Source organism: Homo sapiens, chromosome 9 (genome assembly GCF_000001405.40).
Source record: "Homo sapiens chromosome 9, GRCh38.p14 Primary Assembly".
NCBI classification, from domain to species: domain Eukaryota; kingdom Metazoa; phylum Chordata; class Mammalia; order Primates; family Hominidae; genus Homo; species Homo sapiens.
The window spans coordinates 76,501,110-76,517,416 of NC_000009.12; the positions used below are offsets into that span (position 1 = coordinate 76,501,110).

A 16,307-nucleotide genomic window follows, 5' to 3' on the forward strand; every position below is an offset into this window, starting at 1 on the left:
TCAGTTATTCATTTTTATTTGTATTATTACTATTCACAACTCATTTCCTAATGAAATAGTTAAGTTTCTGGCATTAAAAACTCGTGTCAAATCTCTAGAAATCTTGTTATGAACAGATTTATAACGGTCAAATTGGTAGTACTTGACTTTCTTTTTTTAGAACAGCAGCGCTTATCAGCTGTAGAACCAATTGCCAAGTTATAAAATTGATTTTTGAAAACAAAGCTATTTAATGTTTGTAAGCATTTCATATAGTAAAAGTGGGTTGTGTTCCTGGAATTTGAATATAGATGAAGGTCTGTCATAAATTACAATTTGTATACACTATTGTTTTCTGCAAGACTTAGTTATTACAGTCTGTTATAACTAATGCAGAAAACGCAAGCTGTATCTCTCTTTTGGATTATGAATACTTTGTTTTCTTGTAGTTTCTGGCATGGAACTAAACTCATTGTGGGACTAACCCAACACAGTCCCAAACGGGGCTTTGTTTCATCTGAGCCTTTTCAATCCAATTTGAAAATTCTGTTGACTTGCCCTTCCTTCAAAGATTCTTAGAAGTCACAACCATTTCCAAACTTCTCCCTAAGTATGCCCCAAATCCTAAATCAGCAAAAAGCAGAATGGATCTGATCTCTTTTAGGGCTGCTGACACCAGCTAATGGACATTAAAACATGTCAGGAGGAACTTAAATTACTAACGATTTCAAGAACAAGGGGTGGTAATTCTGGCACAGTGTCAGAAACTCATCAACTATAGACTGTTCAATCATTATTGCCTAGGCGTCCAACTATGGTTTTGCACCTCAACATACCAAAGAGGTAAAATGCTTGTTGTTAGATATTCTAGTGCATCCATGTACTGGGATTTGGGGTTTGTTTTTTCTTTTGTTTTCTTTTTCAATCTGTGGTATAAATACTAGAGACTGTGGGCTTCCTGTACTACTACAATTTATCCTCTGATTCAGCCACTTTGTTTTTGTTTTAAACCTAACCTCATAGCAAAGAGGACAGTTTTTTGAGCCTGAGAAGATTTATTGTGAAAAACTCTCTCTCTCTCTCTCTCTCTGTATATATATATATATATATATATATTTATTTATATTTATAATTGCTTCTTTTATTTCAGTGCTGCTCTTCATTTCAAGATGCCGTTGCAGCTCTGATAAATGCAAACTGACAACCTTCAAGGCCACGACGGAGGGAAAATCATTGGTGCTTGGAGCATAGAAGACTGCCCTTCACAAAGGAAATCCCTGATTATTGTTTGAAATGCTGAGGACGTTGCTGCGAAGGAGACTTTTTTCTTATCCCACCAAATACTACTTTATGGTTCTTGTTTTATCCCTAATCACCTTCTCCGTTTTAAGGATTCATCAAAAGCCTGAATTTGTAAGTGTCAGACACTTGGAGCTTGCTGGGGAGAATCCTAGTAGTGATATTAATTGCACCAAAGTTTTACAGGGTGATGTAAATGAAATCCAAAAGGTAAAGCTTGAGATCCTAACAGTGAAATTTAAAAAGCGCCCTCGGTGGACACCTGACGACTATATAAACATGACCAGTGACTGTTCTTCTTTCATCAAGAGACGCAAATATATTGTAGAACCCCTTAGTAAAGAAGAGGCGGAGTTTCCAATAGCATATTCTATAGTGGTTCATCACAAGATTGAAATGCTTGACAGGCTGCTGAGGGCCATCTATATGCCTCAGAATTTCTATTGCATTCATGTGGACACAAAATCCGAGGATTCCTATTTAGCTGCAGTGATGGGCATCGCTTCCTGTTTTAGTAATGTCTTTGTGGCCAGCCGATTGGAGAGTGTGGTTTATGCATCGTGGAGCCGGGTTCAGGCTGACCTCAACTGCATGAAGGATCTCTATGCAATGAGTGCAAACTGGAAGTACTTGATAAATCTTTGTGGTATGGATTTTCCCATTAAAACCAACCTAGAAATTGTCAGGAAGCTCAAGTTGTTAATGGGAGAAAACAACCTGGAAACGGAGAGGATGCCATCCCATAAAGAAGAAAGGTGGAAGAAGCGGTATGAGGTCGTTAATGGAAAGCTGACAAACACAGGGACTGTCAAAATGCTTCCTCCACTCGAAACACCTCTCTTTTCTGGCAGTGCCTACTTCGTGGTCAGTAGGGAGTATGTGGGGTATGTACTACAGAATGAAAAAATCCAAAAGTTGATGGAGTGGGCACAAGACACATACAGCCCTGATGAGTATCTCTGGGCCACCATCCAAAGGATTCCTGAAGTCCCGGGCTCACTCCCTGCCAGCCATAAGTATGATCTGTCTGACATGCAAGCAGTTGCCAGGTTTGTCAAGTGGCAGTACTTTGAGGGTGATGTTTCCAAGGGTGCTCCCTACCCGCCCTGCGATGGAGTCCATGTGCGCTCAGTGTGCATTTTCGGAGCTGGTGACTTGAACTGGATGCTGCGCAAACACCACTTGTTTGCCAATAAGTTTGACGTGGATGTTGACCTCTTTGCCATCCAGTGTTTGGATGAGCATTTGAGACACAAAGCTTTGGAGACATTAAAACACTGACCATTACGGGCAATTTTATGAACAAGAAGAAGGATACACAAAACGTACCCTTATCTGTTTCCCCTTCCTTGTCAGCATCGGGAAGATGGTATGAAGTCCTCTTTGGGGCAGGGACTCTAGTAGATCTTCTTGTCAGAGAAGCTGCATGGTTTCTGCAGAGCACAGTTAGCTAGAAAGGTGATAGCATTAAATGTTCATCTAGAGTTAATAGTGGGAGGAGTAAAGGTAGCCTTGAGGCCAGAGCAGGTAGCAAGGCATTGTGGAAAGAGGGGACCAGGGTGGCTGGGGAAGAGGCCGATGCATAAAGTCAGCCTGTTCAAAGTGCTCAGGGACTTAGCAAAATGAGAAGATGTGACCTGTGCCAAAACTATTTTGAGAATTTTAAATGTGACCATTTTTCTGGTATGAATAAACTTACAGCAACAAATAATCAAAGATACAATTAATCTGATATTATATTTGTTGAAATAGAAATTTGATTGTACTATAAATGATTTTTGTAAATAATTTATATTCTGCTCTAATACTGTACTGTGTAGTGTGTCTCCGTATGTCATCTCAGGGAGCTTAAAATGGGCTTGATTTAACATTGTTTTTGTGTTATTTTTGCTTGAAACAACGCACACATTTTCAACAACCAAAAAATGACAATTTCTAGTTTAGTTAATTTCTACAAATCATCTTATGTTATTAGCAAGGTTAAGACATCTTTTTTAAAAAAATTATAGCTTCTACCAAGAGAAACACTCAATTTTTCTAGAGATTTGCCTCTATCTTCCTTTCCTCAGTCTTCCCAGACTGCTATCAAGCTGTGTAAAAATTTACTTTCACTGGACCCTAAATTATTGTCTCTGCTATCTGACTGCCAGTAATTAGTGCAGAAAACTAAGACAGGATGATACAGGTTTGAGGGGCTGGGGAGTGGGAGGGGGGAGAAAAGGAATGTATTTAAACAATTTCCGATGCCCATGATGAGTTTAAAAACCAGCATTGACACCATCCCCAAAATTAAGGCTGTCGCTTATTGAATCCACTTGTGTCCAACCTCCCAGGATTGTTTTATCCTAATGTCACCTGTATATTCATTTGAAAGGACTTGGCCCTGTTCTTGGGTCTTCCCGTTACCTGCCCCCTGGGTGGTAAGTTTCCTCCTTTCTCAACCTTCCACGAGGAGGAAAGAAGTGTGCAGTCATTCCACATGGCCTGTTGGAAGGCCTGGGGAGGGAACTTTGGGTTTGGGACAGATTTTTTTTTTTGTTTTTGGTATCATTCACAGCATACGATTTTTACTCTCTCCATCTTCACCATAAGACAGATAATTTGGGGTTGCTATAATGCTGTCACACATCTCAAAGTACATTCAAATCTTAAAAAGAAATTCTCGTACTTTTGCCATGTTGATACTGTTCAGCAAACAAGCTACCAGGAACTGTGAGGCTTTGTCATTTAGCATTAGACTTTAAACAAGAATTAAAATCATGTGCTGTATTTTTAAAATCTAGCCAAATTAAATAGTACATGAGAAATTCAGAGTATTAGACAGTTTTAAGGCATTCAACTGAGAAAACTTTATTTGTCAAAGTCAGAAAACATTTTCATCTTATTGAGAGATATGTTTTTAAACTTTTATCATCATTTGTAAATGTGGAAGTTGGTGGATTGCTGTGTTTTTGCATGATTAGCATGGGAGTCTGTTGGAGCAAGAGGAACATGCTTGTTTTGAAAACTCGAGATGATGAGGGTGGTACATGCAGTGTGTTCTCTCTTTATTGGCTTCTAAACCAGTTTTGTCCTTTAATGCATGTCAAATATTTCTCCCATGCTTCTCTTAGCAGAAAAGTTTTTACCTATAAGACAGGGCACCTTTTAACTCTAAAACTAGTGATACTCAGTGACATAGACTTTGTCTTATAAACATTTTTTCATTTTTTATTTTGAAAAATTGCAAATCTACAGCAAAAGTAAAACAGTAGAGTGAACACCATGTAACCCTCACCTGGTGTTAACATTGTACCCTATTTGCTTTAAGTTGTATGTATTTCTGAACTTGGCAAAATTGGAAATTAAAATTTTTAAAAATTACAAATATACAAAGTTATTTATCTTAGCACATTTATTATGTGTGACTGCATCTGATTTATATTTAAATTGGCAGGTTTTGAGGGATTTTTTTCTTCATCATAAATGTAAACATAGGATTTTAGAGTCTATTTCCCCAAGCGCCACATTATAACTGTAAACTTACCATCTTCTATGTAGCTGTGATATCTCATCTTTCTAAAATGGAACTTGTTAAAAAGTGTTCAAACACTATCCCTAATGCCTGCGGCAGAATTTATATACGATCCATTCATTGGGGCTCAAAGTATCTTTTAGACTTTTAAGGACAATTTACAGCAAATGAAATTTATGATGCTGTGACAAGAAATTTAAAGAATCAAAACGATGGTTTGAAAAGGAAACCTATGATACATGCAGGAGAAGCAAAACCCAAGTGATTGGTGAGAAATATAGAAATTATTTAAATTACTTTATAGTAATTATTAAACACTAATTTTTGTACTGTCATTGAAGGTGTTTTATAGAGAAATCTGAGAAATCACATTCACAAATTAGAAGTCAAACATGGCCAGGCACAGTGGCTCACACCTGTAATCTTCAGGATTTCAAGACCAGCCTAGCCAACATGACGAAACCCCATCTCTACTGAAAATAGAAAAAAAAAATTAGCCAGGCTTGCACCTGTAATCCCAGTTACCTGGGAGGCTGAGGCAGGAGAATCTCTTGAGCCCAGGAGGCGGAGGTTGCAGTGAGCTGAGATGCCACCACCACACCAGCCTGGGTGACAGAGTGAAACTCGTATCTCCAAACAAACAAACAAAAAGTCCTTAAACATATGTGAACAAAAATTTTGTGATGGAAGGATTCTAGTTAATGAGTATTGCATCAAGATTTACATCTTTCTTACTAAGGAAAAGAGTTAATAAAAATTGTTCTTTATTTTACAGGCAGTTACTGAGGCTCTTCCCAGATCTCAGTAAACAGCCACTCAGCCTTGAAAATGGAGTGTTGTTGTTTCTAAACATATATTTATGTCATTTATTAAGTACAGTTCACTTAAATAACATAAGTAGATTTTCTCTTGTAGTGATTTGGGTAGGAAGAGGCCATGTTTCAGTTCGTTTTCTCTGTAGGGTCGATTGAATTGGACCTTTTCAGTTGTTCAGAAAAATAAAAATAATTTCTCATATTAAATACAGACGCTCCTCAACTTATGATGTGGGTAGGTCCCAGTAAACCCATTATAATTTGAAAATATCACATTGAAAATGCATTTAATATCTCTTACCTGAAATCATAACTTAGCCAAGCCTACCTTAAATGTTCTCAGAACATTTAGCCTGCAGTTGGGCAAAACCATTTAACACAAAGCCTATTTTATAATGAAGTGTTGAATAGCTCATGTTATTTACTGAATACTGTTGTGAAAGTGAAAAACAATGATTGTATGGGTACTCAAAGTATAATTTCTACTGAATGCATATCACTTGTGCACTGTTGTAAAGCTGAAAAACCGTTAAGCCTCTACGATTTTTAAGTAAGTTGGGGACCATCAGTTTAAAATAAATGCAATACTATTTCATGATAAACATGGTCACTGTAAGTTTTACTCTTTTGAATGAGGGTGCGACAGAATGCAGTTAGAATCAGTTCATATCACCATTAAAATCATCCATTCAGAAACCAAGGCCTTGTCTGCAGAAATTTTTTATTCCTTTTTCTGTTAGCAACCAGCACTCAAACGTTAAATTTGGTAGTTGATGTACTTTGTAACAAATGAGTGTGTGCAAGTAGTGATTAAAAATAAGATTCATTCTCAAGGCACAAATGTCAGAGGGGAAGAGAGTATCTCAAAAAACAAACTAACACAGAGTATGCAAAAAGATTACTGGGAGGCTTTAGAAGTATGCAATTGAATGGCCAGTATTGCATTCTAGGACATTAGACACTTCAACTGTGTCTACTGAAGAAAGAGAACAGTTTTCCAGTTAGTAGCATAGGTTAATAGGAGCTATCACCTGCTGTTGGTTTGAATGTGATGGGCACAGCTGAGGGAAAAGGGACCCCATGCCCCCAATATTGAGTGCCTTCTCCAGATATTGTCACACCGGATCTATTAAACACTTCGAGGTGTTCTTTAGCCCTAAATTAGATGAAACATTCTAGAAAGTGGCAAAATTGATGAATTTCAGATTTTTCTCTAAAGCTTGAGAGCTTTACATATCCTTTATAAGCCTGCTTGTGAAAGATATTGTTTTTAATACATGCTTTAATGTTTTCAGGGCTTGTCATCAGAATATTGATACAATTTTTTTTAATGCAGTAGGACCCAAACTAGAAATGAATTACAACTATTGGGAAAGAAAAAACTATTGTTATTATTGCAGATGATATAATGGTCCAAGTAGAAAGCCTGGGAATCTCATCTTAGAATTAATATGAAATTAGCAAAAACCTCCAGATATCCAAAAGTTAATAGACAAAGGTAGCTTTAAGATATAATTGTAGTATATCACCATTTGTTGTGGCAACAAGCTTTGTCACATTTATAGACAAACTGAGCATGTGTGCAGAAACTATACAAAGATAACAGAAGACCTGTATAGATGGAAAAATACACTGCTCCTAGCTGATAAAATGATTTTTTTGTTTGTTTTTTGTTTTTTGTTTTTTTGAGACAGAGTTTCACTCTTGTTGCCCGGGCTGAAGTGCAATGGCATGATCTCGGCTCACCACAACTTCCGCCTCCTGGGTTCAAGCAATTCTCCTGCCTCAGCCTCCGGAGTAGCTGGGATTACAGACATGTGCCACCATGCCTGGCTAATTTTGTATTTTTAGTAGAAACGGGGTTTCTCCATGTTGGTCAGGCTGGTCTCAACCTCCCGACCTCAGGTGATCCGCCCGCCTTGGCCTCCCAAAGTGCTGGGATTACAGGCGTGAGCCACTGTTCCCAGCCCTAAAATGAAATATTTTAAACATTTCTTCTATTTGTGAATTAACTGAATGCAAGTCTATTAATGTTCTCAATGGCTTGAGAGTATCCTAAATTTCATCTGAAAGATGTGCAAGAATAGGAATATTTTGAAAGGAAAGTCATGAAGTCTTAAGATACTAGATATAAAACCATATTTCACAGCTAAAAAATATTGAAAATGTACTAATAGTTTACATTTGAACCCTTAGACCAAGGCAGTAGTAGCCCCGAAATAGATGTGAGTATAAATAAAATGTTCCAAAAATCCTAGGAACATAAGGAAGGTAAACTTTTGGAGAATACTAGATTATGGCTTTATAATGTACACCAAAATCCAGATGAAAAATATGAAAATAAGCTAGAAGAACATACTAGTGACTATCTTTGGATGGGTGACTGAATTTTCCAAATAAAAGCAATAAGATTCATTAAGGAGCAGATTATATATTTAAAAATATATATCTTCTGAATATGAGAAAGTAAAAGGCAAATGAGATTAGAACATTTGCCTACAGATTTTGGAAGAGGGAGGCTTAATACCTTAATATGGAAATGATTTATGCTAATATTTAAAACCAGTTATATTGAGATAATTCACTTATACAGTTTACCCATTTAAAGTGTATATCTAAGTGGTTTTTATTATAACCATTACCACAATCCATTTTATTTTTATTTGTATTTTAAATATGGAGACAGGTTCTCACTATGTAGCCCAGGCTGGTCTCAAACTCCTGAGCTCAAGCGATTCTCCCACCTCAGCCTCCCAAAGTGCTGGGATTACAAGCATGAGCCACCACGCCTGGCCCATAATCAATTTTAGAACCTCTTCATCACCCCAAGAAGAAACCTTGTACCCTTTATAGTCACTCCCCACAACTCCCTCATACTAACATAGTTGTTTTTTTTTTTTTTTTTTTTGAGACGGAGTCTCGCTCTGTCGCCCAGGCCGGACTGCGGACTGCAGTGGCGCAATCTCGGCTCACTGCAAGCTCCGCCTCCCGGGTTCACGCCATTCTCCTGCCTCAGCCTCCCGAGTAGCTGGGACTACAGGCGCCCGCCACCGCGCCCGGCTAATTTTTTGTATTTTTAGTAGAGACGGGGTTTCACCTTGTTAGCCAGGATGGTCTCGATCTCCTGACCTCATGATCCACCCGCCTCGGCCTCCCAAAGTGCTGGGATTACAGGCGTGAGCCACCGCGCCCGGCCCATAGTTTTTAAACATGAAGACTCCAAGAGAAAAATGAACAAAGGATGTAACAATTCATAGAAGTACAATAAGAAATGGAAATGGCTAATATGAAAAATTATAATTCAATAAAGATGATTCAAATTAAAAGAAAATTTCTGTATCAAATTACCAGTTTTGGTGTTTGGTTTTTTAAAATATCCTTGATACTTGAGAGACCATATTGAGAAATAAGACTACATATAATGTGATCTCATTTATGAAAACTATTGAACAGAAAGGAGCATTCAGAATTTCCTGAAGTCACATCTTCATATTTTGAGAATGACTCCTTCCAGCTCCATAAAATTGTTGCCAAATATGTATTTGGAGCTTTTTCCACATATGGTTTGCCTTAGGGAGTCTTATGCTCCCCAGCCCCAGCCTTTATTTAGGGGAGGAAGGAGCCATGATTTCTCTCCTCTCACCTACTGACAGGCATGTTTTAGATGTAACCATTAGTGCTTAGCCGTGTCAAGGTCCTATACTCTGATTAACCTTGTAAGATAGCCCCATTGTATACCCACAGTGAAGAGAACCTTTTGCAGCAGTAGCCTGAATAACCAATCCTATAGGCCACTGGCACTCTCCATCTGACTACAAGAGCTGAGGATGATTAGATTGGCAGCAGTTTTGCCTCTAGCTCCTTGGAACGTATCTATGGGATTTCATTTTCTGATATCCAATACATGTTGATTTAATTGCTTGTTAGGTGAGGGTGGCCTGTTTCCTTGAGCTGCATGCCAGTGGGAAACATATGTTCCCCTTCAGCAGGAGGACTCCAGAAGATTCATACTCTCCAGTAGCCTCCATCCGAACATATGACTGTGGGAGTAACTTGGATGAGCAGTATTGGTGCAGGAGGAGGATCTTGTTTAACTAGATAATTTTGTGCATTTCATATGAAGGTTTATTGACCTTTAAGATATAGAAACCGGTGTTTTTTGTTTTGTTTTGTTTTAATTTCTGCAAAACACGGATACCACTATCACTGGCTTAAACATTATTGGGTATTTATAATTTATTTCCTTTGCCATTAGACTCATTAGTAAACGCTTCCTGGCGCAGTTAGAATTCCCTTAATTGACTTGATGCAAAGAAGATGTGTTTTCTCTTCAGGAAAGCTTTTCGTGCCCCTCCACTCAAAGGAGAATGCCCCTTTAAGTATGTTCCTCAAAGCCCACTGCGCTAATCATGGCAACAGCTGGCATTTGTTGAGCATTTACTTATTGCATGTTCAAAGCACTTTGCATGTATTACCTCCTTTCACTCCATAACAACCTTGGGAATGGGCACTACTTATAAAAAATTGGCCCAATTTACAAAAGAGCAAAGAAAGGCATGAATCCATAATAAACGCTTGAAAAAATGTTTTTCTCTGATCCATTCATCTCTATTTTACCATTTTAACCATCCACCTTCTTCCCCAGAACCTGGCCTGCTGTGAGTGCAGCACATCTCTTTGAGACAGGGTGTCACTCCATTGCCCAGACTGGAGTGCAGTGGCACGATCACGGCTCACTGCAGCCTGGACTTTCTGGGCTCCAGCAATCCTCCCACCTCAGTCTCTAGAGTAGCTCAGACCACAGGCATGCGCCACCATGCTTGGCTAATTTTTGTATTTTTTTTTTTTTTATAGAAATGGGGTTTCGCCATGCTGCCCAGGCTGCTCTCAAACTCATGAGCTCAAGCCATCCACCCGCTTCAGCCTCCCAAAATTCTGGGATTACAGGCGTGAGCCACCACGCCTTGCCTGCATTTCTTGTTTAAAGCAAGATGTGCTGGCTGGGCGCTGTGGCTCACGCCTGTAATCCCAGCACTTTTAGAGGCCAAGGCGGGCAGATCACCAGGTCAAGAGATCGAGACCATCCTGGCCAATGTGGTAAAACTCTATCTCTACTAAAATTACAAAAATCAGCTGGGCATGGTGGCGTGCGCGCCTGTAGTCCCAGCTACTCAGGAGGCTGAGGCAGGAGAATCGCTTGAACCCGGGAGGCAGAGGTTGCAGTGAGCCAAGATTCCATAATGCCTTGAGAAATAAAAGGGATAGAAACAGAATTAATCCACTAGTCTTACTGAAACCACCCAAAGGGTGTGTGGAGAGAAAGAGGAGAGAAAGGAGGAAGAGCAGTAAGCACCAAGTGGATGAGGGCAGGCGGAAGGCAGGCTCAGGGAAAGGGGAGAAGCAGGAGAAGAGCAGGGCTTAGAAGCTATCAGAGGTTCCTTAGCAAATATGAATATACAATGAAGTATTATTATTATTGTCACCATGCTGTACATTAAATCCCCAAAACTTATTCCCTTATAACTGAAAGTTTGTACCGATTGACCCAAATCCCCCATTTTCCCCATCCCCCCCCACGCCCAGCCGCTGGCAACCAACTTTCTACCTTTGTTTCTATGAGTTTGACTTCTTTAGATTCCACATGTAAGTGGGGTCGTGCAATATTTGTCTGTGTCTGGCTTATTTCACTTGACAGAAAGTCTTTTAGGTTCATCCATGTTGTCATAAACAGCAGGATTTTCTTATTTTTCATGGCCAAATAATATTCCATTGTGTACATGCATGTGTGTGTTTGTGTGTCACATTTTCTTTATCCATTTAGCCATCAACACACACTTAGGTTGTTTCCATATCTTGGTTATTGTGAGTAACGCATCAATGAACATGGGAGTGGAGAGCAGATATCCTTTTGACATACTGATTCATTTTCTTCGGTTATATGCCTAGAAGTGGGATCGCTGGATTATGCAGTAGTTCTATTTTTTAGTTATTTGAGGAAGCTCTATACTGTTTTCCATAATGGCTGTACCAATTTACAATCCCACCAACAGTGTTCCCAGTCCTACCACATTCTTGCCAATGCTTGTTATTATTTGACTAATACTAGCTATCCTAACAAGTGTGAGGTGATTTCTCATTGTGGTTTTAAGCTGCATTTTCCTGATATTGAGGTTTTTTTCTTTTTTTTCTTTTTTTTTTTTTAAGAAAACGGTTCTCACTCTGTCACTCAGGCTGGAGTGCAGTGGTGGCATGATCATAGCTCACTGCAGTCTCCACTTCCTAGGCTCAAGTGAGCCATCCCCCTTGGCCTCCCAAAGTCCTGGAATTACAGGCATGAGTCACTGTGCCTGACAAGCAGTTTTTAAATATATCTTTTAGCCATTTGTATGTCTTATTTGAAGAGTGTTTATTCAGGTCCTTTGTCCATTTTTTATTGGATTATTTGGGGGTTTTTGCTATTGAGTTGTATGAGTTCCTCATATATTTTGGATATTAGCCCTCTATTGGATATATGGTTTGCAAATATTTTCTCCCATTCTGCAGATTACACTTTACTTTTGTTGACTGTTTCCCTTGCTGTGCAGAAAGTTTTTAGTTTGATGGAGTCCCCCATGTTTATTTTTGCTTTTGTTGCCTGGGCTTTGGGGCCATAATCATAAAATCTTTGCCAAGACCACTATCAAGAAAATTTTCCCCTATGTTTTCTTCTAGGATTTATTGGGTTTCATGTTTGATGTTTAAGTCTTCCACCTGTTTTTTTTTTTTTTTTTTTTTTTTGAGATAGAGTCTCGCTCTGTTGCTCAGGCTGGAGTGCAGTGGTGCCATCTTGGTTCATTGCAACCTCCCTCCCAGGTTCAAGTGATTCTCCTGCCTTAGCCTCTCAAGTAGCTGAGATTATAGGCGCCTGCCACCACGCCTCACTACTTTTTGTATTTTTAGTAGAGACAGAGTTTCACCATGTTGGCAAGGCTGGTCTTGAACTCCTGACTCAAGTGATCTGCCCACCTTGGCCTCCCAAAGTGCTGGGATTACAGGCGTGAGCCACCACACGTGGCCCTTTTACCCATTTTGAGTTGACTTTTGTGTATGGCGTAAGATGAGGGCCCAATCTAATCTTCTGCATTTGTATACCCAGTTTTCCCAGTACCACTTATTGAAGATATTGACCTTTCCCCATTGTGTGTTCTTCATACCTTGGTTGAAAGTGAGTTGGCCTTAAATGCATGGATTTGTTTTTGGGTTCTCTATTGTGTTCCGTCGGTCTATGCATCTGTTTTTATGCCAGTACTGTGCTGTTTTGTTAACTATAGCTTTATAATAAACCTTGAAATCAGGTAGTGGGATGCCTGCAGCTTTGTTTGTCCTCAGGATTAATTTGGCTATTCAGAATCTTTTGTGGTTGCATATGAATTTTAAGGTTGCTTTTTCTATTTCTATAGAAAATGTCATTGGAATTTTGATAGGAATTGCATTGAATCTATGAATTGCTTTGGGTAGTATGGACATTTTAATAATATTTGTATCCTGCAACTTTACTAAATTTGTTTACTAGTTCTGACAGCTTTTTGGTGGAGTCATTAGGGTTTTCTATATACAGGATCATGTCATCTGCAAATTGAAACAATTTTACTTCTTTCTTTTGATTTGGATGCATTTCATTTCTTTTTCTTGCCTAATTGCTCTGGCCGGGTCTTCTGGTAGTATGTTGAATAGAAGTGGTGAGAGTGGAAATTCTTGTCTTGTTCCTAATCTTGGAAGAAAAACTTTCAGCTTTGCACCATTGAGTGTGATGTTAGCTGTGGGCTTGTCATATACGGCCTTTATTATTTTGAGGTACATTCCCTCTATACCTAATTCATTGAGAGTTTTTTAAATCACAAAACAATATTTAATTTTTTCAAATGTTCTTTCTGCATCTCTTGAGATCATCATTTTCATCCTTCATTCTGTTAATATGGTATATCACATTTATTGATGTGTGTACACTGAACCATCCTTACATCCTCATGATAAATCCCTCTTGATCATGATGTATGATCCTTTTAACGTGTTGTTGAATTTGGTTTACTAGTATTTTGTTGAGGATTTTTACATTTATGTTCATCAGCAATGTTGACCTATAGTTTTCTTGTTTTGTAGTGTCCTTGTCTGGCTTCAGTATCTGAGCAATGCTATTCTCATAAAATGAGTTTTAGAAGTGTTATCTTTTCAATTTTTTTTGAAAGAGTTTGGGACAAATAGATATTAATTCTTCTTTAAATATTTGTGAAGCTCTCTGGTCCTTGGCTTTTCTTTCTTGGGAGATTTTTGATTACTGATTCAGTCTCCTTATACATTATTGGTCTGCTGAGATTTTCTATTCTTCATAATTTAATTTTGGTAGGTGGTATGTTTCTAGTAATTTGTTCATTTCTTATAAGTTATCTAATTTATTGGCATATAATTATTCATAGTTGTCTCTTATGATCTTTTGAATTTCCGTGGTATGAGTTGTAATGTCTCTTCTTTAATTTAAAATTTTACTTGAATTCTCTCTTTTCCTAAATTAGTCTAGCCAAGGGTTTGTCGACTTTCTCTTTTCAGAAAACCAACTCTTAGTCTCATTGATCTTTCTACTGTTTTTCTATAATAGTCTCTATTTTCTCTATTTTATTTTTCCTGCTCTAATTTTTGTTATTTTCTTCCTTTGCTAACTTGAGGCTTGGCCTATTATTCTCTTACCTCCTTGAGGTATAAAGTTAGGTTGTTTAGTTGAGATATTTCATTTTTCTTAACGTAAGTTTTTTGATTTTTTGCTTGTTTGTTTTTAAGACAGGGTCTTGCTCTGTTGCCCAGGCAGAAGCACAGTGATGTGATCATGGCTCACTGCAGCCTCAACCTCCTGAGCTCAAGTGATCCTTCCATCTCAGCCTCCCAAGTAACTGGGACCACAGGCAGATGCCACCATGCCCAGGTAATTTCTTAATTTTTGTACAGAGGAGGTCTCACTATGTTGCCCAGGTTTGTCTCAAACTCCTGGGCTCAAGCAATCCTCCCATCTCAGCCTCTCAAAGTGCTGGGATTACAGGCATGAGCCACCATGCTTGGCCTCAATATTTGTTGCTCGTTCAGTATTTACTGCTATAAACTTCCCAGTGAAAGGAGATTTGAAGGGTGGTTTTAACCTTCTCCTTTATCTTAGGTGATCAATCACCTCAATTTACCCTGGACTGTGGAGGTTTCTGGGATACTGGGTTTGGGATGCTAAAATCAGAATAAGTTGGTCATCCCATCTTTATCTTCCCCCTAAATATCCAGTATAATATACATCAGTGCTTTAAAATGGAATTTATGTTTTATGGGCATTAGCAATTCAGAAATGTGCCTGTACACAGGCAAAGGGAAAGAACAGGGGAGCCACAAATAGGCTTAGCCACATACAGGTGATACACTCACACTTAGAGTATTGGGCACCAACAGGCGAAATTTCTGATTAAGAAGAGAATTATAACTGAGCAGAGCATTGGAGGACATCCTCTTATGGAACCTGAGAAGCCTAACCCAAACTATTTGCAGCCAGGTCACCTACCTCTGAAGGGGTCTTGGTGGATGGTTAGAAATCAGCATAAGTTTAATAAAGCTGGTTCCCGTTATCACACATCAACACACATCCTGAATTATACCTAGCAAACTTTGCAGCTTCTACTTTGGAAAATCCTTCCACAGTCTATCCAGGTACTGAAGCTGCCAAACCGAGCAGTGTCCTTGAATGTTCCTGTCTCCTCACACCCACTTACTAAGGCCTCTCTCCTTCACAGTGACTCCGTTCACATGCTCCCGTCTTGTCATCAAGCCCTGTTCATCTCTCACCATCTCTCACCTGGACCATTGCCAGTTTCTGAGCTGCCTGCTCTTGAATACCAGCTTCCTGAAAATATCACCAAAACGATCTGGTCCTCAGACAAAGCAGAGTCTATTGCTCACTGCAGTAACAGAGAGCTCCGTCTTCAGAGTCTTGGTAACATTTCGCTGAGAGGACAACCCAATCACACTGTTTAGGAGATTTTGGATTCTGACTAAGGTGAGTCTGACAATGTGGGGTCTTGGCAAATAATCATGATGAAATAGTTTAAGATGAGAAGACACAGCAAAGTAAGGATTTTGAGGCAAAGGGTTCAAACAATCTTAGAGTATAAACTGCTTTTTATTGATGTAACTCTGAAGATGTTCCTGGAGTAAAAAAAGGAAGTTATTTGCAAATTTTACCTCCAGGGTGAGAGCTTCTGGAATAAGAAATTTCTGCTGATGAAGATCGTAAACTGTGTGGGTGTAGCTGGTTTTGCCTGTCACCTCCATGCCTCCTATCTCAAACTCTTCCACTTCGTTAGCAACAGCAACAATAATAACAATAGTTACAATATGAGTAGCAGCAAATATTTAGCTCTCATTAAATGCCAAGCACTGTCCTAAGCATTTTACAAATACTGTCTCATTAAAGTTCGCCATAATCCTATGGTATTGGCACTATTTTTGTCCACATTATACAAATGTAAACACTGAAGCAGCTTAGAGAGGACAAGTTATTTGACCAAGTCACACAGTACCTTCCCACTGTCAGAGTTCTATCAGAAATGAAAATTTGATAATTGCACACTCTTGCATAAACTTTTTCAAAGATTCCCTGTTGCCTAAAACATAAAAATCTTGATTTCTTCAAATGG

The 16,307-nt window shown here is 38.8% G+C and overlaps 1 protein-coding gene and 1 long non-coding RNA gene across 13 annotated transcripts in view, besides 1 other annotated feature; both read left to right on the top strand.

The window, feature by feature from the left end:
* The window catches only part of GCNT1 (glucosaminyl (N-acetyl) transferase 1), a 113,548-nt gene extending 107,241 nt beyond the window's left edge, over positions 1 to 6,307 (top strand). For all 12 annotated transcript variants that reach the window (NM_001407181.1, NM_001407182.1, NM_001407183.1 and 9 more), the window contains one exon: positions 1,130 to 6,307. In NM_001407181.1, the coding sequence (NP_001394110.1) occupies positions 1,273 to 2,559 (1,287 nt within the window). In that variant the 5' untranslated portion in view covers positions 1,130 to 1,272 and the 3' untranslated portion in view covers positions 2,560 to 6,307. The remainder of the gene's footprint in view (positions 1 to 1,129) is intronic.
* Positions 10,041 to 10,541: an enhancer, noted in NCBI's record as "H3K4me1 hESC enhancer chr9:79126066-79126566 (GRCh37/hg19 assembly coordinates)". NCBI's record gives its function as "activates a minimal SCP1, AML or CMV promoter by ChIP-STARR-seq in naive H9 embryonic stem cells {active_cell/tissue: H9 hESC(naive)}" and the evidence as "EXISTENCE:reporter gene assay evidence [ECO:0000049][PMID:30033119]".
* LOC124902184 (uncharacterized) lies at positions 14,419 to 16,099 on the top strand. Its single transcript, XR_007061585.1, has 2 exons — positions 14,419 to 14,560; positions 15,405 to 16,099. It is a non-coding gene; the product is annotated as an uncharacterized LOC124902184 (long non-coding RNA).
* Positions 16,100 to 16,307: the final 208 nt, after the last annotated feature.